The sequence below is a fragment of the Homo sapiens genome, chromosome 17 (assembly GCF_000001405.40).
Source record: "Homo sapiens chromosome 17, GRCh38.p14 Primary Assembly".
Lineage (NCBI taxonomy): Eukaryota > Metazoa > Chordata > Mammalia > Primates > Hominidae > Homo > Homo sapiens.
Window position 1 is genome coordinate 29,758,648 of NC_000017.11, and position 27,380 is coordinate 29,786,027.

The window sequence follows — 27,380 nt, forward strand, 5'->3', positions numbered from 1 at the left end:
AATTAGTAGGAAAAAAAATTTGGACTTGATTGACCAGAAAACATGATTTACAACTCCTTTCCCCCCAAAAAGCTTATAATCCCTGTCTTTTAAAAATTATTTTATTATTATTATTTAAAGAGGCAGGGTCTTGCTCTGCCACCCAGGCTGGCATGCAATGGCACACTCATGGCTCACTGCAGCCTTGAACTCCCGGGCTAAAGTAATCCTCCTACCTCAGCCTCCTGAGTAGCTGGGACTACAGGTGTGTAACACCACACTCTGCTAATTTTAAAAATGTTTCATAGAGACAGAGTCTCAGTATGTTACCCAGGATGGTCTTGAACTCCTGGCCTCAAGTGATCCTCCTGTCTCCCAAAGTGCTGGGATTACAGATATAAGCCACTGTGCCTGGCCTTTTTAATTCTTTTTTATTTTTTTGAGACAGGGTCTTGCTCTGTCACCCAGGCTGGAGTGTGGTGGCATGATCACAGCTTACTGTAGCCTCAAGCTATCTTTCCACCTCAGCCTCCTTAGTAGCTGAGACTATAGGCATGCGCCACCGCACCTGGCTAATTTTTTCTATTTTTCTTAAGATGGAGTCTCACTATGTTGCCCAGGTTGGTCTCCAATTCCTGGGCTCAAGCAATCCTCCCACCTCAGCCTCCCAAAGTGCTGGGACTATAGGTGTGAGCAACCACACCAGGCCCTTTTAAATTCTTTTTATTGTGCTTATTAGGTTGGTGTAAAAGTAACTGCAGTTTTTGCTATTACTTTTACTGGCCATGAATATACATAGCATAAAATTTACCATTTTAACCATTTTAAGTGTACAGTTCTAGGGTATTAAATATTTTCACACTGTTGTGCAACTACCACCATCCATCCCCAGAATTTTTTCATCTTCCTCAAATGAAACTTTGTTCTCTTCAAATACAAATTTCCTACCCCTTCTCCTTCAACCCCTAGCAACTACCATTCTACTTTACTTCTCTCTGAATTTGACTTCTATAGATAGGTACCTCATATAAATGAAATCATATAGTATTTATACTTTTGTGACTGGCTTATTTCACTTAGAATAGTATCTTCAAGGTCATTCATACTGTAGCATTATGTCAGACTCCTTCCTTAAGGCTAAATAATATTCTACTATATGTACATACCACATTTTGTTAATCCATTCATCCATCCATGGACACTTGGGTTGCTTCCACTGCCATTTTTAAAGTACTGTTAACACTATTATTTTCATACTGGTTATCAGTGTCAGATTATTTACCCATTAACTTCTTCACTCTATGACCGTTCCCGTTTTTAGACGGAAAATGCAAGTCAGTTTATTTAATTGTGGAGCTTTTACAGTACAGGGCAGTAAAACAACTTTTGTGACTTTTTTTCTATTTTTTTAGAAGCTCCACCATGAATCAACACACGGGAGAAAAAAAGAAACTCAAACGAGTTTAATTCGATTTGGTAGGATAGGAGGGCAAACCATCTCTGAAAATAATAAATTAGTTGTGAGATTATCTAGAAATCACCTTACATGCTATTCTCTAGACCTTTAATAAGGGATAATGTAAAGTTTCTGTTGTTGGACATTAAAAAGTTGACCTGGGAGGGAGACAGTAGCTTTGCTTAAGTGCAAAGAGTCTAGGAAAATCCCAGCAGGTGACTCCTCTGAAGCCACTTGGAATGAGTGTCAACACACTAACACAGACCCAACTGCTGCTATCTAAGTAACCTTAAACCACTGCATTGATTTAAGGATGGAACCTGAATAGGAAAAGTTCCTCTACTTGATAACTGTGAAGTGATATTAACCACAAGCTTCAGCACACACACTTCTCAGAAACAGCTAAACCACAGTGGAATGACAACTCTCTAGAGACTTCAAAAACAGCGACGATTTAAAGATGCATTTGCGCTTTGGTGAATGAAGGTGTGCGTGCAGGCTTGGGCTGTGAGCACGTACCAGTAGTACAGGAGGAGATAAAATAGAAACTACCGAAATCTAGCCTTCTGGAATCACTCCAGACTACAACCAGCAGGAGCGAAGAATGGTCCTTCTTTTTGTAAATGGTTAGCAATAGAAACTTTAAAAAAAAAAAACCCATAATCACGGAAAGCTGCTCACCAGCAGGACCCACAGGGACTCCCGCTTCCGATTCTGTCGACTACCCTTCACCCAAGTCTTCCAAGTGCCAAACAGCTCAGCTGTCACTCGGTCACCACAACTTCTGAGGGACAACCCGCACTTTCAAAGTCCCTCAAAGTTAAACGGAAATTCTCCCAAAGGATTCTTCCGTCCACCCCCACCCCGGGACACTTTCCGCCTCCATGAATCCCCCCACCGTTCTACCCCAGCATCCTTCCCTCCAGACGCACGGAGACCTCCAGGCAAGCAGGATGCGCGCTCGCCCTCGCTTGATTGTTTGCTCCCCAGGATGCTGGGGAAAGCGGCTGCTGAAAGAGCAAACTTTCTGAGCGTTCGCGGAGGCGGAGGGCGCGCGGCGGACTCACAGCTGGTTGATGGCGTTCTGCGAGATGACCGCGTTGGCGGAGAAGTAAGGAATCATGTCGGGGCCACCGAGGCTGCAGGTGCAAGCGAGGGGCGCCTTCCTCTTGCGGGCCAACGTGCTCAGGGTCATGGGGCCGGCTCAAAGTGCACAACTCCGCATCCTGGCCTCTGCTCTGCTCCGGCACGAGGCGCAGGCTGCGCGTGCACCCGGCGGCGGAGGCGGGCCCGCCGGGTCGCGCGGAGGCAGCCGCCGAAGCCCCAGGGCTCGGCGGTAGAGTCCGGACTGACGGGCGTCGCCAGCAGTTCGCCCCCACCCGCGTCCGGGGCGGGACGGGCGGGTCCTGAGAGCGGAGAGGGTAGGCCCGGCCGGCGCCCCGCCCCAGATCTCGGGACGCCCGCGCGGATCCCGCAGCGCGCGTCACAGCCTTTAGGGCATCCGGCGGCCCCAAGACACTGCTGCCTCGGTAAGGGAGTGAAGCTACTCAAGGGTGGACGAGAAAGGCTTGCATTTCTCTAAAGGAGGATGTTTCAACAGAAAAGTCCTGCCTCTTAAAGATTGGCTCTATACATTGTACCTCAAACCCGTTTTTGAAAGATCTTAAAAAATGTAAAGGCCATAAATTCACAAGTGCAACAAATATTTATCAGAGACTTCCTATGTGATTTGGAAATTCAGAGATTACACTCACATACATATGTGTGTGTGTGTGTGTGTGTGTGTGTGTATATATATATATATATTTTTTTTTGAGATGGAGTTTCTGCTATTGTCGCCCAGGCTGGAATGCAATGGTGCGATCTTGGTTCACTGCAACCTCCGCCTCCCAGGTTCAAGCGATTCTCCAGCCTCAGCCTCCCGAGTAGCTGGCATTACAGGTTTGCGCCACCACGCCTGGCTAATTTTTGTATTTTTCGTAGAGATGGGGTTTCAATGTGTTGGCCAGGCTGGTCTCAAACTCCTGACCTCCGGTGATCCGCCCGTCTCGGCCTCCCAAAGTGCTGGGATTACAGGCGTGAGCCAGGGCTCCCGGCAAGATTTTTTTTTTTTAAACAGTTGAAGTAATGGTCAAACAAACAAAAAACAATTTAGATTGTCGATAACATCTACTAATGTTTGTAAGTAAATCTATAGAGGGCTTTCTTAGCCATCCCCCAATTCAAAGATTCACAGCCTTAGCTGCACATAGGAATTACTTGTGGTGGGTTTAAAAATCTCAATGCCCAGGCTGCACCTTAATAAAATTGGAATCTCTTGAAGGTGGGATTTAGACGTATTTTTCAAAGCTCCCCAGGTGATTCCAAAGTGCAGCCATGGTTGAGACGGCAGAGTAGAGATCATATCTTCACTTTACAGATACAGTAACATTTAAGGTCTAAGCAGATGACCTCGTTTATAAATAATGTCATTCAGGAACCCAGGTTTTATGACATTTGATCTAGGGCTTTTACCTTCAAATTGTATTCCCTGACGCCTTTACAGTTTTAAGCCCTTACCATGTTCCTTCCAATTCACTGAGCAGTGCCTTTCACCTGACCAGGGACCAGCTCTTTGTAAAATATGACTGCGCTCTCTCTCTCCTGCATGTTGTGCTCACAAATGGGGCTGGCATGGTGCAGGCATTCAATAGAAGTTAGCTTCCTTTTATTTTACCTTTCCAGTCTCATTATGCTACAGCAAATATTTTCAGGTATCAGCATTTTCAGCATTTTTGAATACTAGACTAAAATATATATCACTGAAGCTGCCTTAGAATTCTGGAGTCAGAAATTAATAATAATTTCTAAAAACTTCACTAACCAATTAGATTAAAATTAGGAAGAAGTGACTTTAAGACTCAACATGCTATAATCAAGAAAATAATAAGCCTTTGTTTTATATAAATATTTATGCTCTTTTCCCATTGGAAAGTTTGGCAATTTTCAAGATACTAGTAATGAAATAATCAATCCAAATTATAAGGTCTATGCCTAAAACCAGAATTACTCGTTAGTTGATTCTTCTATAAAACTTAAGCCTGTTGCCAAAGCACCTTGAGGGACTTGAAATACTGAAAACTCATGCTGTAAAGAGTTATCTAAGTTTCTGAGATATCTGGTAATAGGAAAGCACCAGGTGGCAAGTGAAGAGTTAACGGAAGGTCTGGATCTTGGAGTTCATCATCTTCATCCATCTCTAGGAAGGAAAATGTTTGAAAGATTTATTCAGGCTGTGTCAGCAGCCACCCAAATGGTAGTGTAAAAAAAAATCTGCTGATACACCCCAAAATAAATTGCTTAAAATATCTGGCAAACTTGCCAGTTTGAAACTTCTTCCAGACTGTAATTTATTACAGCCTCCTGCTGTGATTAAAAAAAAAAAAAAAAGCAGGCGCGTTAGAACAGCACTATTAAGGTGAGTCCAGTTCCTTTCATGACACAGCAGAGAGAGGATTTTATTGAAGTCAACACTAAATGATGCCATTTAGGACAGATGATGGCATGGTAATCATCTGTATCTGTCTGAAAAAGCAGGAAATGTATATTATTCAATTCATACTTAATATCTCTTGCATTTAAAAATGCCAGAGATAAAGATTTCATAAATATGTATCTTGTCTTTTATAAATAGGTTCCTATAGCGACGCCCCAGAAGTGCATAGTCCTTTCCTTTCTCCTCAGAAGACCTCTGTCAGTGTCTGTTCAGCTAAGGAGGCTATGTTAACGTCCCTATCCAGGCTTTTTCAAAAGCTTCTCAAAGTTAAATTCTCACTTTGAACTGTAATATAGGAAATTAAGAAAGTGCTAGAACATGTCTCCTGCTTTTTTTTTTTTTTTTCCCTGAGACAGAGTTTCACTCTTGTTGCCCACGCTGGAGTGCAATGGCGCGATCTCAGCTCACTGCAACCTCCACCTCGCGGGTTCAAGTGATTCTCGTGCCTCGGCTTCCTGAGTAGCTGGGATTACAGGTGTGTGCCACCATGCCTGGCTAATTTTTTGTATTTTTAGTAGAAACAGGGTTTCACCATGTTGGCCAGGCTGGTCTCGAACTCCTGACCTCAGGCAATCTGCCCGCCTTGGCCTCCCAAAGTGCTGAGATTACAGGTGTGAGCCACTGCACCCGGCCTGTCTCTTGCTTTTTTAAGAAAAAAATTAAATCATCTTTGCAAACTGGGATACCTTTAAGAAAATAGTTCTTTGTGCTACTGTATGTTTTTAAAAGTTGAGCAAATTCCTTTTCTTTGCACAGTGTGCAGAGTGTCAAAATGCCAATCAATTTAGTTTCAGCTCAATTTAATTCTTTACTCTCCACTGTCGGGAAACAAGCCTCTAGGGAGCAAGCTCTCTGTACCCATGCATCTAGGAATTCAAAAATGATTTCAAATTAGATTGAGCAGCATGAAATAAACTAAGTTAGTTTTCTACTCTACATGAAGTCAGAAGGGGCTTTCTGTAAAAAACAAATTTTGCACAAAGGCCCTGAAGAAAAATTGCTGCCTTTCTTTACATTCTTGCTTGAGTTGGAACATTTGAAATTAGCTTTATCATGTCATTTGCTGACCATTTCAAGATTCAAAATGTGAATATTCTAAAATGTTGGCTCTTGACAACATTAGCTATGACCAAATTAAGTTTTTGTAGGATGACACATTAATAGTATTAAAAATGCTTAAGTAGAAAATGCTTAAGGGACTTCCATTACTGTGTATCCATGTATCCCTTATGGTATAATCACTGTAAAACAGTGAAAACTGGAGACTTACATGCTGACCTAACTGTATTCCAGGACAGACCTGAAGGTGTGCTGAAATGCGAATGAAGGATGTAGTAAATATGTTTTTGCTGCTGTGACAAAATTTCAACATGAGTAGATCACTTGAACTGATGCCAAAAGCAATGTGCTATAAGCCAGGGGACCTAGTCTGTAGTTCTAACATGGTCACTTAATAAACTAAGACTGGCCAAGTCCCTTCATCTATAAAATGGGGTAGCAAAACCCTAATGAAATGTCCCTAGATCTGTTCTTATGAGAGTTGGGGAATTTTGAGAAAGGAATCTCATCCTTCTGGAGAATCCTGAGAAAATGTATCTAATCCAGTTAAGATAAACAGTCACCTAGTGCAAAGCAGTAGAGCCCAGTAGTTAAAAACTCTGGCCTTGGAATTAATAGGCCAGGTTTGGATCGTACTGCAACCATTAGCTATGAATTTCAGTTACTTAGTCTTTGGCTCAGTACTTGGCACTTAATTTAGAAAGTTATCGTGAGGATTAATTAATTTACATAAAGTACTTAAAAGAGTACCTGGCACAAAAATTTACTCTTTCACTTTAATGTCTGGCAACTTGAAGGTAAGACTCACCGTGCACCTTAGTTTATTCACTGAGAAAATGAAAATGTTTAGATTAGAGATTATCCTCTATGCTCTTTTCCACAAATCTGAAAAATAGCTAAAGTGGACAACATTAGAAAGTGGCAATGATGCTGATATCAGAAGTTCCAGATTCTAGCTGCTTTGTCTATGGGCAAACCTTAATCTATCCTAGCCCTACTTTCTTTAATCTTAAACTGAGGTAATGTTTACCTCACGGGCTGATTAAGATACAGGGACAAAAGGCTGGGCATGGTGGCTTATGCCTGTAATGTCAGCATTTTGGGAGGCCGAGGCCGGTGGATCACTTGAGGTCAGGAGTTCAAGACCAGCCTGGCCAACATGGTGAAACTCCTTCTCTATTAAAAATACAAAAATTAGCCAGGCGTGCTGGTGGGCGCCTGTAATCTCAGCTACTTGGGAGACTGAGGCAGGAGAATCGCTTGAACCTGGGAGGCGGATGTTGCAGTGAGCCAAGATCGCACTGCTGCACTCCAGCCTGGATGACAGAGTGAGACTCCGTCTCCAAAAAAAAAAAAAAAAAGATACAGGGACAAAAGTACTTTGTGAACAACACCAAATTCAAATTTATTATTATTATTATCATCATCATCATCCATAAATTGGTCAGTCAGCTTTCAATAATAGAAAGCTAATTGTATTTGTTTTCTTTCATTACCCTGAAGTTGACAAATGAATGAATGAACATTAAAATACCTGTCTGGGCACAGTGGCTCACACCTGTAATCCTAGCACTTTGGGAGGCGGAGGCAGGAGAATTGCTTGAACCCAGGAGTTTGAGACCAGCCTGGGCAAGATAGTGAGACCCTGTCTCATTAAAAAAATAAAAATAATGCAGGAGGCTGAGGCAGGAGAATCGCTTGAACCCGGGAGGTGGAGGTTGCAGTGAGCTAAGATCGCGCCACTGCACTCTAGTCGGGGCAACAGAGTGAGACGCTGTCTCAAAAAAAAAAATAATAATAATAAAGAAAAAAATAAAATATATGCAAATTTCCCCTATGTACCACCATTTCATCCAAGAAGTCTTTACTATGATTGTTTGCCAGGTAGTTTTACATTAACTCAGTATTACCGTCTGTAGTAATGTGAGATGTGCAGTGCTCAATTTTTGTATTTTTAAAGCTTTCATGTAATAGCTTTAACTTACATAATTTTAGTTTTAAAATACTTACTCATAAGAAAAAATGATTATACCACAGGACCTATTTGTATTTTTATGTTTTCTCTAAGGGCTCGATGTAGAAAAATAAACAGTAAGTTAATCCCCTGAGTATCAAAAGGAAGAAAACCAACACTTAGAATTACAGAGTAATGCAACATTCTGTCTCCTGTTAATCTGTAAAACACTAGGACAAAACTCTCAAGATAATATCTGAATTTTCACCAAGAGGTATCTTACTACACTTAGTCAATGGCATTCTTTATATAATACAATAAACCAAACTTTGTAAACAAAGGCACTTAAAAGCAATCATGTTTTGCAATCACCATGTGGCTAATTTTTAAAAAAAGAATATCTGACCATAGTTTTAAACACTGGATTAAGCAATGTCACTGAACCTTTATAGTCTTTTCCATGGAACTTTTCCTCCATAAGAGCAATGGAAAACACTGAAAAGATCTGCCTATCAACTCTAGGAGAGGTGATCTCTAAGGCATTCATCCCCCCATAGTCTTAAACACCATATGCTCCTGTAGGAAGAGATGCTGAAATGCTGCTTTCTTCAGGTTACAAAAGCCCCAAACTCTATTGTTTAGTAAAAATAATAGGTATTTACAGATCACTTTTCACATCAAACACACTTTACAAAACATTTAACCATTTAGTCCCCACTTTATCTCTTTAAACGTTTTCTTTTTTCTTTTTTTTTTTTAGACCTCTCAGGGATGAAACATTTTATTTTTTAAACTAGTTTTTTTTTTAAATAACATTAACACATGCTGAATGCTTAAATCTTTTTAGAATTCAGAAAGGTAAAATGAAAGTCACCATTCTCATTCTCATCATCTTACTCCCAGAGATGATTGTTATTAATATTTCCAGAAATTTTGCTTGTATATGCAAACAGCAATATATTGTAGCTGCTCTTTAAGAAGCATACATGCACACACACGCACACACACACACACACACACAGAATTATACATATTATTCTACTTGCATTTCCCCCTACTTATCACTATACCTTAGACATTTTTCCATGTTATTGTAAGTCTCCCTCATTCTTTTAAAGGAGTATAAGGCATTTTATTGTACAATCATATATAATCTATTTAAATAGTCCTTTACTTATGGGCATTTAAGTTGTTTCCAGTCTTTACTATTATATACAATATCACTATGAACATGTGTTTGTATAATTTTTGTTCATGTCATGACAGGGATATTGAAAAAAATATTTGTGCATACATGTGAATATACTTGTTGGATCAACACCTAGAGGTGGAATTGGCAGTTTGAAATATTTTAAACATCTTAGGACCTGGTAGATATTATCAAACTGCCTACCTAAAGAGTTTAGTTTTTTATTTTCCTGTGCATTATTAGTGTCTCCTGCTACTCCATGATCTATTAAATTAACTCAGGGCCCAAGATGCTCTTCTATACCCTGTCTTTTACACATTACATTAAAAGCTAAAAATATATATATTAGAAAAGTAAAATATGTTTATGGGAATAAAGTAGAAAATTTATAAAGAAAAATATTATGAGGAACTATATTATGGATTATTTTTTCCAAAGAACTACTTAGACTATAACAAGATAAATGTAAATTTTTTTTTTTTTTTTTTTTTGAGACAGGGTCTCGCTCTGTCATCCAGACTGGAGTGCAGTGGCACAATCACAGCTCACTGCACTCTTAACCGCCTGGGCTCAAGCAGTTCTCCTGGCTCAACTTCCAAGTAGCTGGGACTGCAGGCATGTAACACCACACCTGTCGAGACGAAGTCTTGCCATGTTGCCCAGGCTGGTTTCAAACTTCTGGGCTCAAGCGATCCTCCTGCCTTGGCCTCCCAAAGTGTGGAGACTACAGGTATGAATCATCATGCCTGGCTGGTAAATGTAATTATTAAGCTACTTTGAAGATAATACAATTTTAAATTCAGAAAATTTTAAAATTATTTACTTCTAATTTAGGAATATATTGGAGCTTTTCTATAAATTCAGAAGATATTTTGAGATCTGTTCAATGATAATGCTGTAGAACTTATTAACATTATAGGTGAATGAACCTAATGTGGCCTAATACCATCAGTGTCCTAGAATGTAGTAAGACAGAGATAGAAAAATGGGAAGTGATTTTGGGAGTAACAAAGAATGGAGGCTAAAAGAGCCAAGAAGGTTTTGAAAATAAAATAACTGAAATTTTTGAGCTGACATTCAGTGTGTGTCAGGTGCTCTATTAAGAGTTTACATGGCCAGGTGTGGTGGCTCACACCTGTAATCCTAGCACTTTGGGAGGCAGAGGCAGGAGGATCCCTTGACTCCAGGAATTCGAGACCAGCCTAGGCAACATAGGGAGACCCTATCTCTGTAAAAAATAAAAAATAATAAAAAAATAGAGTTTACATGCACTATCTCAATTCTTATAAACAATCCTATGATTCTATTATTATCTCTATGAGGCTCAGAGAGGTTAAATAATTTGCCTAAGCTTATACAGCAGTATTTCAAATCCAGCCAGTTATTCTGGCTCCAGAACCTTCTTTCTTAAACAGTATTCTATATTGTCTCCATGATGATGGAGGTTCATTACAGGTTTAAACTGAAAAGGTCTATTGCCAACAGGGAGAAAGAACTCTTGGGGACCTTAAATACCTACCTGACTGCATCTGGTATTTTCTTCTCTACTTGATCCTACTTATGCCTAGCAGGTTCTGACAATAATAGGGACATAACCTGGTACTAAATATAGCAGTAAGATGATCTTTTGGCTGCTGTATACCATCCTCTTGCTACCAGATCCTTTGGAACTCTGTATTTCAAACTTGTATTCATCACATTTTCCAAAGCACTTATATCTAAAGATATTTTTGTGTTTGTAGTTTTTACACAACATCCTACATGAAGGAGGCATTTAATGTATTTGTGAATGATGATGGCATCACCATCATCTTATTTGATGTTTAAAATAAGCCTACTAGCTGGGCCAGTATTATCATTCCTTGTTATAGTTAAAGAAAAAGATGAATCAGACTAACATTGAGTTGATAAGAAGCCTAGATTCTAGGCTTATCGAACGTGTCCAATTCATCCTACATATTATTGACAGATTAACTAAATTCAGTTTGACTAATCTTGAATACCTGTATGCCAGGCACTATGTTACATGCTGATTATCAAAATGAATGAGTTAAATAACTTTTACACTAATTCCCTACTCAAACTCCCCAAATACTTCTCTATTCCCTTTCAGATCAAGTCTAAACTCTTCCTTCTAGCCTACAGATCCACCATAATTTAAATCCTACTATAATCCAGTCATTACAGCATATAATCCTCAACTTCATCCTTTCTCTAACACAATCAGTGTATCAGTGTAACTACCTTTCAAAACAAATTTTTGCTATATTTAGTTTTTTTTTTTTTTTTTTTTTTTTTTTAACAGAGTCTCACTCCATTACCCAGGCTGGAGTACAGTGGTGCGATCTCTGCTTACTGCAACCTCTGCCTCCTGGGTTCAAAAGATACTAGTGATTCTCATGCCTCAACCTCCTGAGTAGCTGGAATTACAGGCTCGAGCCACCACCCCCGGCTAATTTTTGTATTTTTGGTAGAGACAAGGTTTTGCCACCTTGGCCAGGCTGGTCTTGAACTCCTGACCTCCAGTGATCTGCCTGCCTTGGCCTCCCCAAGTGCTGGGATTACAGGCGTGGGCCACCTTGCCCAGCCTAATTAGATTATTTCTATCCTGTCCTTCTATATTCAAGTCTCATTCTCTTTTTTTATAATTAAGTCACTTTTTTTTTTTTTCAAAATGGAGTCTTGCTCTGTCACCCAGGCTGGGGTGCAGTGGCATGATCTTTGCTCACTGCAACCTCTGCCTCCCAGGTTCAAGCGATTCTCATACCTCAGCCTCCTGAGTAGCTGGGACTACAGGTGTGCACCACCACGCCCAGGTAATTTTTGTATTTTTAGTAGAGATGAGGTTTCACCATGTTGGCCTGACTGGTCTCGAACTCCTGACCTCAGATGATCTGCCCACCTCGGCCTCCTAAAGTGCTGGGATGACAGGTGTGAGCCACCGTGCCCGGCCCAAGTCTTATTCTCCTATGTTTAAATTGTTCCCATTCTGAGACCACTTCTATTCAGCCTTTCAGGTTTTTCATGTATAACATATTTTTCAGACCTAGTTTAATTCTCAGCTCTTTCAATAATCAGAAACTCTATAGTGTTTTCATATCCATCTTCACTTAATTCTAATTAAAATCCTGTGTAGGTAAGGAGAGCTAGCTAGGATTATCAGCTTTATTTTACAGATGAGGAAACTAAGGCTCTGAAATTAAGGGACCTGCCCAAACTTACATAGTAAATGTCAGAGCTAGGATTTGAACCTACGTCTTCTGATTAAGTCCAGTGATCAATTCCTGGTTTATAGTACGCTGTGACACTTTTCTAAGTCCTCTAGAATTTATAATATGTATTACGTTATTCAAAGTCTTATTTTCTGTCCTCTATTTTGTGGCACATAATGCATATTTATATAGACAACAATGAGAGCATATTTATTTGTTGTCCTCTAATTGCTGCCTATATAACTTATCTCTCTACTGGAGCAAATCAGACACTAACTCTTTTGTGGACTTTATATAGCCTAGCACAGTGCTATGCAGGTCATAAGCACTAAATACATCCTGGTTAGATGACTGATCCTTTGCACTACATCACTTTATATCTTTCTTAAGATATATCATCTTTCTTTCACACACACATTATGCTCTAGTAAATATTTCCTTAAAGAATCAGTACATTAATGATGGAAGTTCTTTCTCCCTGGGAGCACTGCCTCACTAAATAAGGAGTAGCCCTTAAGACTCCTTTTCACTGCCTTTCATCTCTCTCTTGCTGCCTCTTGTTCTTTGGATAGATACCTCCTTCACACACAGAATTCAGTAGAGGGCCTGAAACACAACCTAGTAAGTAGGTAAGGGTTTTATTTTTATTTTCAAGCCTGCTCTAGACTTTCAGGAGCCAAAAGTTCAAATCACAGCAGGATTGATTCAGCCCTTTCACAAGCAATTTAGTACTATGCAGTTTGTTTAGGATGGTCAAGTTTCCAGGCCCTGGCAGAGCAGCATCATTATCTCTCTAAGCCTTCGTGTATCAACTTCCCTGGCCATATTTCACTTTCTATGTCTTTCTTCTCTGAAATCAGGTGAACATGCAAAATCAGACACTTACACAATTATACACTTTTCAACAACCATGTCAAATATGTTCAAGAATTTACCACAACATTGGAAGTTGTTTTTTCTCTCTGGATTAGATAAAACCAACAAGTATGCAAAAATTAACTCCTCAGTCCTTAGTAGAAAGGGGGCAGTATTTATCATTCTTCAGCTAGTACATCAATTAACTGAGAAAAGATGTGGTTTTTTTTTTTCCAGATTCTATTCAGTCCACCTCACAGCAACCTAAAAGGATAGATGGGCAGATGTTATCCTCATTTTACAAAATGAGGAAATTGAGGGCTACCATAGTGTGAGGTGAGACGGAACTAAAATCAGGTCTTTTTTTTTTTTTTTTTGAGACGGAGTCTCGCTCTGTTGCCCAGGCTGGAGTGCAGTGGCGTGATCTCGGCTCACTGCAAGCTCCACCTCCCGAGTTCACGCCATTCTTCTGCCTCAGCTTCCCAAGTAGCTGGGACTACAGGCGCCCACCACCATGCCCGAATAATTTTTTGTATTTTTAGTAGAGACGGGGTTTCACCGTGTTAGCCAAAAATCAGGTCTTCTTACTCTTACTTAATTGCTTTCTCTCTGTGGTAGTTAATTTTAGGTATCAATGTAACTGGATTACAAAATACCTACAGAACTGGTAAAGTATTACTTCTGGGTTTGTCTCTGAGGCTGTTTCCAGAGAAGATTGGCATGTGAGTTGGTGGACTGAGTGGGGAAGATCCAGTCTCAATGTAAGCAGGTACCAACCAATCTACCTGGGCTACAGGCCGAGATAGAACATAAAAGGAGAAAAAAGCTTTCCTCTCTCCTCCTGGAGCTAGGATACTCTTCTCCTCCTGCCTTTGGACATCAGAACTCCAGGCTCTCTGGACTTGGGACTCCAGGCTCTCTGGACTTGGGACTCCAGGATTTACTCCAGTGAACCCCTCCAGGTCCTTAGGTCTTTGGCATTTGACTGAGAATTACTCTAAAGGCTTCCCTGGCTCTGAGGCTTTTGGACTTGGACTGAGAAACCCTACCAGTATCCCGGTGTCTCCAGCTTGCAGATGGCCAGTCATGGGACTTCTCGGCTTCCATAATTGCATGAGCCAATTCCCCATCTGTCCATCCATCCATCCATCCATCCATCCATCCATCCATCCATCATCCACCCATCCATCCATCATCCACCCATCCATCCATCATCCACCCATCCATCCTATTCTGTCTCTCTGGAAAACTCTGACTAATATATCCTCTACTACTCTGCTGGACGTCCAGATTTCCCTTTGTATATAAAAAGAAAATCAACACTGCACACTTGGAATCCTACCTAACTAAACAGGAAGATTAAATCAGAACTGAGTTTCTATCCATAGAAATAATATTACAATGTAGAAAAGAAAAGACAAGGGGTCCTATTCCTTGTCATTACACAGTAGAATAGAAAATATATATTTAAAACTCATATACATTTTTTGTTTAATTACATTTTTTAAAACATTTTAATTTTACCTGGGAAATCTTTTGTTTTTCAGAAATCTTGTTTTCTAAGCACCTCATGAATAGATGGCAAACATTTTGACTCTCTTTTCTGAAGACCAATATTCTACAAATAATACTAATCTTCAACATCTTAGTTTTATTAAATGCTCCTTAATTTCACTTTGTAAGATTTCTCCATCAGATGGTTTACACATCGCCTTTTGAGATTATTAAATATGAATTTTGTTAAAGTGATATGAAGATATTGGCAGTTTGAGAGATCATTTGGGTTATTTTTTTTATTTATTTATTTTTAGATGGAGTTTTGCTCTTGTTGCTCAGGCTGGAGTGCAATGGCACGATCTCGGCTCACCACAACCTCCACCTCCTGGGTTCAAGCAATTCTCCTGTCTCAGCCTCCCAAGTAGCTGGGATTACAGGCATGTGCCACCACACTTGGCTAATTTTTAGTAGGCATGGGGTTTCTCCATGTTGGTCAGGCTGGTCTTGAACTCCTGACCTCAGGTGATCCACCTGCCTTGGCCTCCCAAAGTGTTGGGATTACAGGCGTGAGCCACCACGCCCAGCCATTTGGGTTATAATAGGAATCTTTCCATAGTGTCTGTTTCCTTTAAAATATATTTAAGACATAAACATATGCATAAGGAGCATATACATACAGGTTTCAAGGTAAGAAAAACCAAGTATATAAGGAGTTCCTAAAGTTTATACTGTTTAAACTCATAAACATAAGATCAGAAGAGACAAAAAACAAAAACTTGACCTTATACTAAACTCAGCAGTTCTGAATTGTGTTCATAATAAACCTTTCCTAATAGCCTTTTACTTTTTCATCCAAAACAAATAACTTGTAGTGAACAAGAAGGAAATTTTTTTTTTTGAGATGGAGTTTTGCTCTTATTGCCCAGGCTGGAGTGCAATGGCGGGATCTTGGCTCACTGCAACCTCCTCCTCCTGGGTTCAAGCAATTCTCCTGCCTCAGCCTCCCAAGTAGCTGGGATTACAGGTATACACCACCATGCCTGGCTAATTTTGTATTTTTTAGTAGAGATGGGGTTTCACCATGCTGGTCAGGCTGGTCTTGAACTCTTGACCTCAGGTGATCCACCCGCCTTGGCCTCCCAAAGTGTTGGGATTACAGGCATAAGCCACTGCACCCAGCTTATTAATTTTTTAAAGTTTCCTGCATACTTCGTGGAGGAAAGTGAGATTCTAATTTTGGGGGTTGGGATTGGAGAGTAGAGAAGTGGATAAGCATGATGGGCAAAACTTTGGTTCTTATATATATGCTGCTGCTTTTTTAAAAATGAAGTTTTTATTCAATTGGGAAAATCATACTGGGAGAGGGTAATAGTACTATAAAAAGTTAATCATCCGGTCATGAATTACATTTAAAACTGTAAGGTGCAGGATGGCAAGAGCAGCAAGAAGATCAACATTGCCAACTGTGGACAACTCGAATAAGTTTGACTTGTGTTTCACCTTAACCACCAGACCATTCCTTCTGTAGCTCAGGAGAGCAGCCCTCCACCCCATTTGCTCGCAGTATCCTATACTCGTTGTGCTCTCACTGCAGTTCCCTTTGAGTTCTGTGTTTTCCTTGTTCCCTTCCATGCCTAGCTGGATTGCAGAGTTAAGTTTATGATTATGAAATAAAAACCAAATAACAAAACAAAACTGTAAGGTGCCTATTGCTATACAAACTTCCCTAGTTTCAATTTATACATTTATCACTCATTTACTCAGTAATTTAACAATTAGGTAATTCATGCCTATTAATTGCCAGGGCTTGGATTGGACCTTGAGGATGAAAAATGAAGAATGCATGAGATCTGGCAGCCTAGAAGGGAGACAAACTGGAGTGTGAAAAATGAAGTCCTTCTTTCCTTTTTTTTTTTTTTTTTTGAGACAGGGTCTGGCTCTAGCGCCCATGCTGAAGTGCACTGGCGCAATCTTGGCTCTCCTCAACCTCTGCCTCCCAGGCTCAAGTGATCCTCTTGCCTTAGCCTCCCATATTATGAACTTTTCATTACTAGATTTATTCACCAAATTAATATACAACAGAACTGCAAATAATACAGTTCTAGAACAGAATTAGCATCAAATTCACTAAAACATTTTTCTTTTAATCAGTGAGGAAACCATCCTGGGAATGTCATTTTTTGAGGATATATAGCTGTCTTTTATTTGTAGGTTCTGGTTTTCTTTATTCATAGAAAAGAAAGTCCTCTCCTGATCTGAATTTATGCATTCAAACTTGTTCCTTAGATTTAACCTTGGCTGTTTCATTTTGTAGGGTAGGGACTTATCCTGAGACAATGGTCTTGTTAAGTTGGTAAAGCCATTCCATTACAAGTCATCAGTACTCTATCCGTGCCCTTGAGTTTTTCACAACATGAGTTGGTTTTAATTTTAAACATAACCTGAAAAAAATTCTTCAAATGCTTCAAATACTCTGTGTTCCAGGGGAGATATCAGGCCTAGCAGGAATTTGGATCATGAGCAGCTTCTAGAATCAGGCTCTGGCTAATAGAATCCACATATCTGCCTGTGTAGACTCCTTCAGTAGCAGCTTGGCATGGTTCTTGCCAAGGTCCTCTGGAGCACTGCTGCTCTGTTGCCCTAAAGGTTGAAGGCCAGTTCAGTACTGAAGAAGGTTCTATTGGTGGTCTCAGCAAAAAGTGATAGCCCAAAGCCCAGCGACTCCTCAGGGTTGGCTCCTTTCATGTGATCCAAGTAAATAAAGTAAGAACTTGTTGAGCATGCTCCTCAAGCATGCCGTGATTTAGTCAGCCATCTGAGGTGATACACCTACGGAGTATGCTATTCCTCTAACACTTTGGATTTATCTAGGATCTTTGAGCTGAATAGGTCTCAAGATCTTCCTTCAGGACGTGAGAAAAATATTTTACCACCTCTATGAGGCATGCCCAACACACCGTCTTTAGCTCAAATAACTTACCAACAATCCCAAACTATTTCAGCAGAAGGTTGTGGTCATAAAGAGCCAAGCAAAGAAGGTTTCCAAGTAAAGCCACCACTGTGATGGACATTACAGTTGTGTTCCACAGACCCACCATACAAAGGCCTACTTAATAATAAAGGGTTGTTCTTGTTTGGTTTATTTTCATTCAAGAATCATTAGTTTTTCTGTCCACCAGCTTTGTAAAGTTGACTTCAGAATCTCTGAGGCCTGCATTGTGGTCTTTGCATGGATCTTTTGGAATTTGATGGGGCGAACAGGCACTGACACAAGAAGTTGCAGCCTACAGAGCTGAAAAAGTGGATCTGGATTGTCACGTGGGTGCCATGGAATTATAGGGGGCTATCAGTGAAGCTTGGAGGTGATGCCACAGCATGGAGCTGTGGCTTCAGCTCCCTCTTGCAGTCCTCCTGACTATGCCTTTTAAAATGGATTAACTTTTAAAAGGATATTTGTATAGCATTTTGCAATTGCTGAAAGCAGCCTTTTAATTCAAAAAAGTACAGAAACCACATTTTAGATTGTGGCTAAAATTTTAAATTCATGGCTGGGCATGGTGGCTCATGCCTGTAATCCCAACACTGTGGGAGGCTGAGGCGGGCAGATCACCTGAAGTCAGGAGTTCAAGACCAGCCTGGCCAACATGGTGAAACCTTGTCTCTACTAAAAATACAAAAATCAGCTGGGCATGGTGGCGCACATGTGTAATCCCAGCTACTTGGGAGGCTGAGGCAGGAGAATTGCTTGAATCTGGAAGATGGAGGTTGCAGTGAGCCAAGATCTCGCCACTGCACTCCAGCCTGGGTGACAGAGTAAAAGAGCCAGACTCCATCTCAAAAAAAAAAAAAAAATTTTAAATTCATTATGATTATCAGCTATTTAATCATTAAATCTTATACCTTACAGCATCTATCTAGTTCTTATTGGAAAGGCCTCCTTGGCTTTAGTAGTTAACACATACATACTTATGGATTATTGAGAATTATTTATTTTGCTGGAGGCAAACTCATATACTTTTAATTACTAGCCCATCCTGTTTAAGGACTCATGCTTTACTTATAAAGTGTTATTCAGGAACAACCTAATACGAAAATGTATGGTGCACTGAAATAATGAAAATGCACAATTCCATGGTACCTACATTCATTATACAAAGAATAAGGATGGAAAGAGAATCTTCCAAACACCAATCCTTGTCTTTAGAAAATTGAAATGTCATTACAAACAATTCTTTCTACAACCAGCTACTGGTTGATCTTACATTTGATCTGGTGTGCAATGGCTGCAAACAGCAGCCTCCTTGGTGGTGTTTGCAGCCTGTTGCTTGTATGAGTTGCCCTAATGGACCTTGGAGACAGCCCTTTCCAATGTATATTCATGCCTCTGACCCTGCACTATCCCCAAACTAGAAAAAAAAAAAAAAAAAAAAAACCTGATCTGGACGGTCTTTGAGATAGAGGTCACTGTTGCCACATCCCATCCTGCCTTGCAGCCTGCCATGAGTAAGGGGCCAGCAGATGGGAACAGTATCCTCTCAACTGTTCCTCAAGAGTTCTTGACTGTCAGCTCTTTCCCCTCCCATGAAAGGAATTCTTCTCTTCTGATATGATTATACTGTTGCTTTTCCCCATTCCTCTTTCCCCTACTAGAAAAAAAAAAAATAAGTACTGCAATGAATGTGAGAATATTTGTTCTAACATTTTACAGTTTTTCAATGAGAACTGAATTATGGGATACATAAATGTTTTGCATGGTGGAAAAAGGGTAGAGGCCACAATTTCACAGCTACCCAAATCACATTTCTCTTCTAGTAAAGGATTTCTGCCTTAGACCTTTTCCCTCTGGAATACAGAATTTCTGCTAAACATTGACCCTGGTAATGAGAGAGAAAGTCCAGCTGAAAGGAAAGTATCATGCTCTCTTTTCTCCAAGATGCAATCTGTAAGAATCTATAGTCATAAGTCATGTAGCCTGGATGGGCGTGGTAGCTCACGCCTGTAATCCCATCACTTTGGGAGGCTGAGGCGGGAGGATCACCTGAGGTCAGGAGATCGAGACCAGCCTGGCCAACATGGTAAAACCCCATCTCTACTAAAAATACAAAAATCAGCCGGGCATGGTGATGTGCATCTGTAATCCCAGCTACTCAGGAGGCTGAGGCCGGAGAATTGCTGGAATCCAGGAGGCGGAGGTTGCAGTGAGCCGAGATCACGCCACTGCACTCCAGCCTGGGCGACAAGAGTGAGATTCTGTCTAAAAAAATAAATAAATAAATAAAAATAAATAAATAAATAAATAAAGTAGCCAGGTGTGGTGGCAGGCACCTGTAATCCCAGCTACTCGTGAAGCTGAGGCAGGAGAATTGCTTGAATGTTGGAGATGGAGGTTGCAGTGAGCTGAGATCATGCCACTGCACTCTAGCCTGGGTGACAGAGTGAGCCTCCGTCTCCCAAAAAAAAAAAAAAAAAAAAAAAAAAAAAAGTAAGTCATGTAGCCAAGAGGATTTTGTTACTACTAAATAATCATTTGAGTTTTTATTAGTCTGGGTTTTCATAATATCCAGGAAAACAACTCTTCCAAAAGTCAATTTGGCAAAATTAAGAATCAAAGGGACATTTACTTTACTTTTGTTTTTCTTATATCATGAATAACATCTAGGGGGGAAAAGTAAAATTATTTACCTAGATTGGAAAGATATACCTAATTTTTTTTCTAACGGAAGGAAGGAAGGAAGTGAAGGAGGGAGGGAGGAAGGAAGGCTGGCCAAATTTAATTATGGCTGTGATAATCAGATTTGCTTTTCAAATCAGATTTAAGAAGTATGGCTTTCACATCCACCAGACACAGTACACATCAGATAAATATAAAATAGTGTCTGTGAATACATTCTTCAGAAACAAAGAATACTTCAGTGAAATGAAAATTCTTACTGCTGTTAAGTAGCTAGGAAAAGAGGCTTTAAAGGTGTACACTTAACCATCCCAGCGAGGCTACTCTGTATGATAGCAGAAATTTAAGAAAATGAGAAGACAGCTCACCACACCCCCTGGTGGCCACCCCCCAAACATTTATAAACGGCAGATAGTTCTCTATTCTGTACAGGAAAGTGTAACCCACATGGTGGGAGGTGCACAGTCAGGGTGCAGAAAGGCCCACAGCAAAAGATGAACAGTGGCTGGGCATGGTAGTTTACGCCTGTAATCCCAGCACTTTGGGGTCAGGATTCGAGACCAGCCTGGCCAATCCTGACAGATGAAACCCTGACTCTACTAAAAGTACAAAAAATTAGCTGGGCGTGGTGGTGGGCCCTGTAATCCCAGCTACTTGGGGGGCTGAGGCAGGAGAATTGCTTGAACTCAGAAAGTGGAGTGTGCTGAGATCGCCCCATTGCATTCCAGCCTGGGCGACAGAGTGAGACTCTGTCTCAAAAAAAAAAAAAAAAAAAAAAAAAAAAAAGATGAACAGCTTCAATGTGATCAGTTACAGCCACTTTCTAATAAATGGAAAGCTCTACTTTTGTTTAAAAACAACAACAACAAAACAAAAAAACAACTCTGGCCGGGCACAGTAGCTCACGCCTGTAATCCCAGCACTTTGGGAGGCCGCCGGATCACCTGAGGTCAGTTGTTCGAGACCAGTCTGGCCAAAGTGGTGAAATCTCATCTCTACTAAAAATACAAAAATTAGCCGGGCATGATGGCACGTGTCTGTAATCCCAGCTATTTGGGAGGCTGAGGCAGGAGAATTGCCTGAACCTGGGAGGCGGAGGTTGCAGTGAGCCTAGATTGTGCCATTGCATTCCAGCCTGGGTGACAGAGCGAGACTCCATCTCAAACAGCAACAACAACAAAAAAACCCTCTGTTTCTCTTTCTAATGTATATTTCCTGTCATAAGTGCAATCAATATTCAGTTTCTCCATGAAATGTTAACATCATCACTCTATTTCTTAAAGAAGAGTGAGGTGATAGAGCATTTTATTGCCAAATGGCTCAGAAAAAAAGTTCCTTGTATTGTATTTGTAATTTCTCTGTAAGTATGAGATTGTTTCAATTTTTTTTTTTTTTTTTTGAGATAGGGTCTTGCTGTCTCCAGGTTGGAGTGCGATCTTGGCTCACTGCAACTTCCGCCTCCCGGGTTCAAGCGATTCTCCTGCCTCAGCTTCCCAAGTAGCAGGGATTACAAGCGCGCGCCTCCAGGCCCAGGTAATTTTTGTATTTTTAGTAGAGACGGGGTTTCACCATGTTGGCCAGGCAGGTCTCGAGCTCCTGACCTCGTGATCCACCTGCGTCAGCCTCCCAAAGTGCTGGGATTACAGGTGTGAGCCACTGCGCCCGGTCTAAACATTTTTTTAAAGATAAAAAAGATGAGGATTAAATTATCAGCTCATATTTACAATGGACCTACTTTTTTCCCCACTTTTCCTCCCTTTTTTTATTTTTTATTTTTGAGAGGAGTCTCGCTCTGTCGCCCAGGCTGGAGTGCAGTGGCACGATCTCGGCTCACTGCAAACTCCGCCTCCCGGTTCACGCCATTCTCCTGCCTCAGCCTCCCGAGTAGCTAGGACTACAGGCGCCCACCACCATGCCCGGCTAATTTTTTGTATTTTTAGTAGAGACGGGGTTTCACCGTGTTAGCCAGGATGGTCTTGATCTCCTGACCTGGTGATCCACCTGCCTCAGCCTCCCAAAGTGCTGGGATTACAGGCGTGAGCCACGGCGCCCGGCCTTTTTCTCCCTTTTTAAAATTTAAGTACAATGCTCATATTCTCAAAGTTAATATAGTCTTTAACTAGAACATATACTGAGGCAGAAATAAATTTGTCCTCTTTTCACTGCTGAAAGATGGGCAAAATAGTATATATATTGTCATGATATTTAAATCCATAGAAAAATTATTTCACCAAATAGGTTTGAATAAAGATGAAGTCCTATCTCAAAGATAAAAAATAAACAGAGCAAATACACAATAAAGAAAACTTGACAAGGTACCAAAGACAGAAATCTGGAAGAAAAATTTAGCTGCAAATTAGTAACAGTGCCACTGAGAAACCATCTCTTATATAAGGACATGCCCTAATCCTGTGTTTTCTTTTTTTTTTTTTTTTTTTTTTTTGAGATGGAGTCTCACTCCATTGCCCGGGCTAGAGTGCAATGGCGCAGTCTCAGCTCACTGCAACCTCCACCTCCTAGGTTCAAGCGATTCTCCTGCCTTAGCCTATCGAGTAACTGGGACTACAGGTGCGTGCCACCACGCCTGGCCAATTTTTGTATTTTTAATAGAGACAGGGTTTCACTATGTTGGCCAGGCTGATCTCGAACTCTTGACCTCGTGATCCGCCTGCCTCAGCTTCCCAAAGTGCTGGGATTACAGGTATAAGCCACGGTGCCCAGCCCAATAACTTTTTTTCTTTTCTCTTTTCTTCTCCTCTCCTCTCCTCTTTTTCTCTCTCTCCTCTCTCTCTCTCTTTCTTTCTTAACAGAGCCTCGCTTTGTCGCCCAGGCTGGAGTACAGTGGCAAAATCTCAATCTCGGCTCACTGCAACCTCTCCCTCCCAGGTTCAAGCAATTCTCCTGCCTCAGCCTCCAGAATAGCTAGGATTACAGGTGTGCGCCACCATGCCTGGCTAATTTTTGTATTTTTAGTAGAGATGGGGTTTCACCATGTTGGCCAGGCTTGTCTTGAACTCCTGACCTCAGATGATCTGCCCACCTCAGCCTCCCAAAGTGCTGGGATTATAGGCACGAGCCACCATGCCGGCCCTATGTTTTCTTTTAACTGCCTTCAAACTGTTTCTACTTGAATAATGCCCCGTTGTTTCATATATCCAAAGTCAAACTCTTCATATGGTTTCTGACAGAGTTCCCTTTCTTAACTAGTATTATTTCTAGTACAGTAATCAATATTCTTCTATTCCTGTTCATTCACTAAGCATTTACTGAGTGCCAACTACATGCTAATTGGATACCAAAGTAAAATACATAATCCCTGTCCTCATGCTGCTCTCGTACAGGAACTAGCCATTTGCCTGAATTACTGCAACAGCTTTCTTGATAGTTTTCTTGCCTCCCCTCCCCTCATGCTGTATAATACTGCCAGACTCCTTCTGGAAGTCATGTTATACATTTTTTCTTTTTTTGTGCGAGACCAGAGTTTTATTACTACTCAAATCAGTCTTCCTGAAAACTTGAGGATCAGAGTTGTTTTTTGTTTTTTTTTCTGAGACGGAGTCTCATTCTGTCGCCCAGGCTGGAGTGCAGTGGTGCGATCTCCGCTCACTGCAACCTCTGCTTCCTGGGTTCAAGCGATTCTCCTGCCTCAGCCTCCCAAGTAGCTGGGATTACAGGCATGCGCCACCACGCCTGGCTAATTTTTGTATTTTTAGTTGAGACGGGGTTTCGCCATGTTGGCCAGGCTGGTCTCGAACTCCTGACCTCAGGTGATCTGCCCGCCTTGGCCTCCCAAAGTGCTGTGATTACAGGCATGCGCCACTACACCTGGCTAATTTTTGTATTTTTAGTAGAGACAGGGTTTCACCATGTTGGCCAGGCTGGTCTGGAACCCCTGACCTCAGTTGATCTTCCCGTCTTGGGCTTCCAAAGCGCTGTGATTACAGGCATGAGCCACCGCGCCTGGCCTGGATCAGAGTTTTGGTATAAAGGATAATTTGTTGGGTAGGGGGCCATTGAATTGGGAGTGCTGATTGGTTGGCTCAGAGATAAAATCACAGGGAGTTGAAGCTGTTCTTTTATGCTGAGTCAGTTCCTGAGTGGGGGCCACAGAACTAGTTGGCAGGTCCAGGTGGGGTCATTCGGTTGTTAGAAATGGAAAAACCTTATTTATTAGGGTTCTCTATAGGGACAGAACTTTATATAAATATAATATTTATATTTATATATTATATATATAATATTTATATAGTTATATAACATATATTATATATATATATATATATGTAAAGGAGAATTTTTTAAGTATTAACTTACATGATCACAAGGTCCCACAATAGGCTATCTGCAAGCTGAGGAGCAAGAAGAGCCAGTCCGAGTCCCAAAAGTGAAGAAGTGAAGAACTTGCAGTCCAATGTTTGAGGGCAGGACGCATCCAGCATGGGAGAAAGATGTAGGCTGGGAGCTAGGCCAGTCTGTCCTTTTTATGTTTTTCTGCCTGCTTTATATTCGCTGGTATCTGATTAGATTGTGCCCACCAGATTAACTGTGCATCTGCCTTCCCCAGGTAATCTCTTTTGCAACACCCTCACAGACACACCCAGGATCAATACTTTGTAGCCTTCAATCCAATCAAGCTGACACTCAGTATTAACCATTACACCTGAAAAGGCATCTCAAAAAGCTGATCTTAGGTTCACAATAGTGATGTTACCTTTAAGAGTAATTGGGGGGGCCGGGCGCGGTGGCTCACGCCTGTAATCCCAGCACTTTGGGAGGCCGAGGCGGGCGGATCACGAGGTCAGGAGATCGAGACCATCCCGGCTAAAACGGTGAAACCCCGTCTCTACTAAAAATACAAAAAATTAGCCGGGCGTAGTGGCGGGCGCCTGTAGTCCCAGCTACTTGGGAGGCTGAGGCAGGAGAATGGCGTGAACCCGGGAGGCGGAGCTTGCAGTGAGCCGAGATCCCGCCACTGCACTCCAGCCTGGGTGACAGAGCGAGACTCCGTCTCAAAAAAAAAAAAAAAAAAAAAAAAAAAAGAGTAATTGGGGGCTGGACGCGGTGGCTCATGCCTGCAATCCTGGCACTTTGGGAGGCCAAGGTGGGTGGATCACCTGAGATCAGGAGTTAGAGACCAGCCTGGCCAACATGGTTAAACCCCATCTCTACTAAAAATAAAAATAGGCTGGGCGTGGTGGCACGCACCTGTAATCCCAGCTACTCAGGAGGCTGAGGCAGGAGAATCACGTGAACCTGGGAGATGGAGGTTGCAATGAGCCAAGATTGTGCCATTGCATTCCACCCTGGGCGACAGACCAAGATTCCATCTCAAAAAAAAAAAAGAGTAATTGGGGGCCGAGGCAGGTGAATCGCTTGAGGTCAGGTTACAAAAATTAGCTGGGTGTGGTGACGGGTGCCTGTAATCCCAGCTTCTTGGGAGGCTGAGACAGGAGAATCACTTGAATCCAGGAGGCGGAGGTTGCAGTGAGCCGAGATTGCACCCCACTGCACTCCAGCCTGGGTGACAGAGCTAGACTCCTTCTCAAAAAAAAAAAAAAGAATAATTAGGGAAGTTGTGAATCCTATGACCTCCTGAATAATGGTTGGTGATATTTAGAATTAGTCATGTCATTCTTCTACACATAGATCTATCAAATTGAAACTCCTCTGCTTTTAAGGTATAGACAGTTACCTTCTTACTTTCCTAAAACACATTAGCTCCTATTTTCAGACTTTTGATGATATCCTTCCATTCTCCCCACTCTCCTATGTTTGGAATGCTACCCTTTTCTTCTGTTCTCCTATCTAAATCCCATTCATTCATCATGACTCAGCTCTGGCCCACATTGCTTTTTTCCTCTCCTCTGCTGCAAATTTTATTTTCATTGCTATCTTTGAAACAACTGAGGAAAAGACCAAATTTTCTTTTTGTTTTGTTTTTATTTTGCTTCATTTTTCCCTTATAAAGACCAAATTTTCAAAGGTGAAGAATTTTTTCAGCAGATGGTGAGTAATTTTTTATGTCCATGAAAGACTAAAGAGGAAGAAACCAGGCTTAAAAATAGGGGAGGGTTTCAGCTGAACATGAAAAATAATTTCTTCATTTTCAAAGTAATCAAAAAAAGTATAATATATTATATGTATTGCTGGAATTGAGAGAAGAAATGTAAAACTCCTTACTTTATACAGTTCTTATCTTGGGGTTGGCACACACAAGAATGAAAGAATTCTACTATAATTAAAATTAAATTAAGATCTCAAAGTACTTTGTTTCCTATCATAACTATTCACTATTCACCTTAAAAAAGGTGTCCTGAGATTGCAAGATATATTTCAGTGCAATCTTGTTCATTTTTATTTATCATCTTATAATTGTATTAGGTTGACCCATATGAGACAGCTGTTTACAGTTAATATGTTTGAATATTGGCGTTTCATTTTTTTTTTTTTTTTTTTTTTTTGAGACAGAGTCTTACTCTGTTGCCCAGGCTCTGGAGTGCAGTGGTACCATCTCTGCTCACTGCAACCTCTGCTTCCCGGGTTCAAGCGATTCTCCTGCCTCAGCCTCCTGAGTAGCTGGGATTACAGGAGCGTGCCATCACGCTCAACTAATTTTTGTATTTTTAGTAGGGATGGGGGTTTTGCCATGTTGACCAGGCTGGTCTCGAACTCGTGACCTCGAGATCCACCCACCTCGGCTTCTCAAAGTGCTGGGATTGCAGGCGCGAGTCACCGCGCCCAGTCCGTTTACTTTTTTTTTTTTTTTTTTAGACGGAGTCTGCCTGTGTAGCCCAGGCTGGAGTGCAGTGGCGCGATCTCGGCTCACTGCAAGCTCTGCCTCCTGGGTTCACACCATTCTCCTGCCTCAGCCTCCCCAGTAGCTGGGATTACAGGCGCCCGCCATCACGCCCGGCTAGTTTTTTGTATTTTTAGTAGAGACCGGGTTTCACCGTGTCAGCCAGGATGGTCTTGA

General features: G+C 41.2%; 1 protein-coding gene and 2 pseudogenes across 12 annotated transcripts in view, besides 3 other annotated features; 1 reads left to right on the forward strand and 2 right to left on the reverse strand.

Moving 5' to 3' along the window:
* SSH2 (slingshot protein phosphatase 2) overlaps positions 1-27,380 on the reverse strand; it is a 304,291-nt gene that overhangs the window by 132,710 nt on the left and 144,201 nt on the right. For 2 of the 12 annotated variants that reach the window (XM_005258059.3, NM_001282131.2), the window contains exon 1: positions 2,503-2,785. The exons of the other annotated variants lie outside the window; for them this stretch is intronic. In XM_005258059.3, the coding sequence (XP_005258116.1) occupies positions 2,503-2,630 (128 nt within the window). In that variant the 5' untranslated portion in view covers positions 2,631-2,785. Of the gene's footprint in view, positions 1-2,502; positions 2,786-27,380 lie in introns of those variants that run through there. 12 annotated transcript variants of the gene reach the window in all.
* Positions 2,579-3,018: a silencer, noted in NCBI's record as "silent region_8387". NCBI's record gives its function as "represses an Ori minimal core promoter by ATAC-STARR-seq in GM12878 lymphoblastoid cells {active_cell/tissue: GM12878}" and the evidence as "EXISTENCE:reporter gene assay evidence [ECO:0000049][PMID:35858748]".
* Positions 3,069-3,198: an enhancer, noted in NCBI's record as "active region_11985". NCBI's record gives its function as "activates an Ori minimal core promoter by ATAC-STARR-seq in GM12878 lymphoblastoid cells {active_cell/tissue: GM12878}" and the evidence as "EXISTENCE:reporter gene assay evidence [ECO:0000049][PMID:35858748]".
* On the reverse strand, positions 17,071-18,045 carry LOC100421100 (RNA terminal phosphate cyclase like 1 pseudogene; annotated as a pseudogene).
* LOC124900394 (uncharacterized) lies at positions 18,972-19,097 on the forward strand (annotated as a pseudogene).
* Positions 20,950-21,079: an enhancer, noted in NCBI's record as "active region_11986". NCBI's record gives its function as "activates an Ori minimal core promoter by ATAC-STARR-seq in GM12878 lymphoblastoid cells {active_cell/tissue: GM12878}" and the evidence as "EXISTENCE:reporter gene assay evidence [ECO:0000049][PMID:35858748]".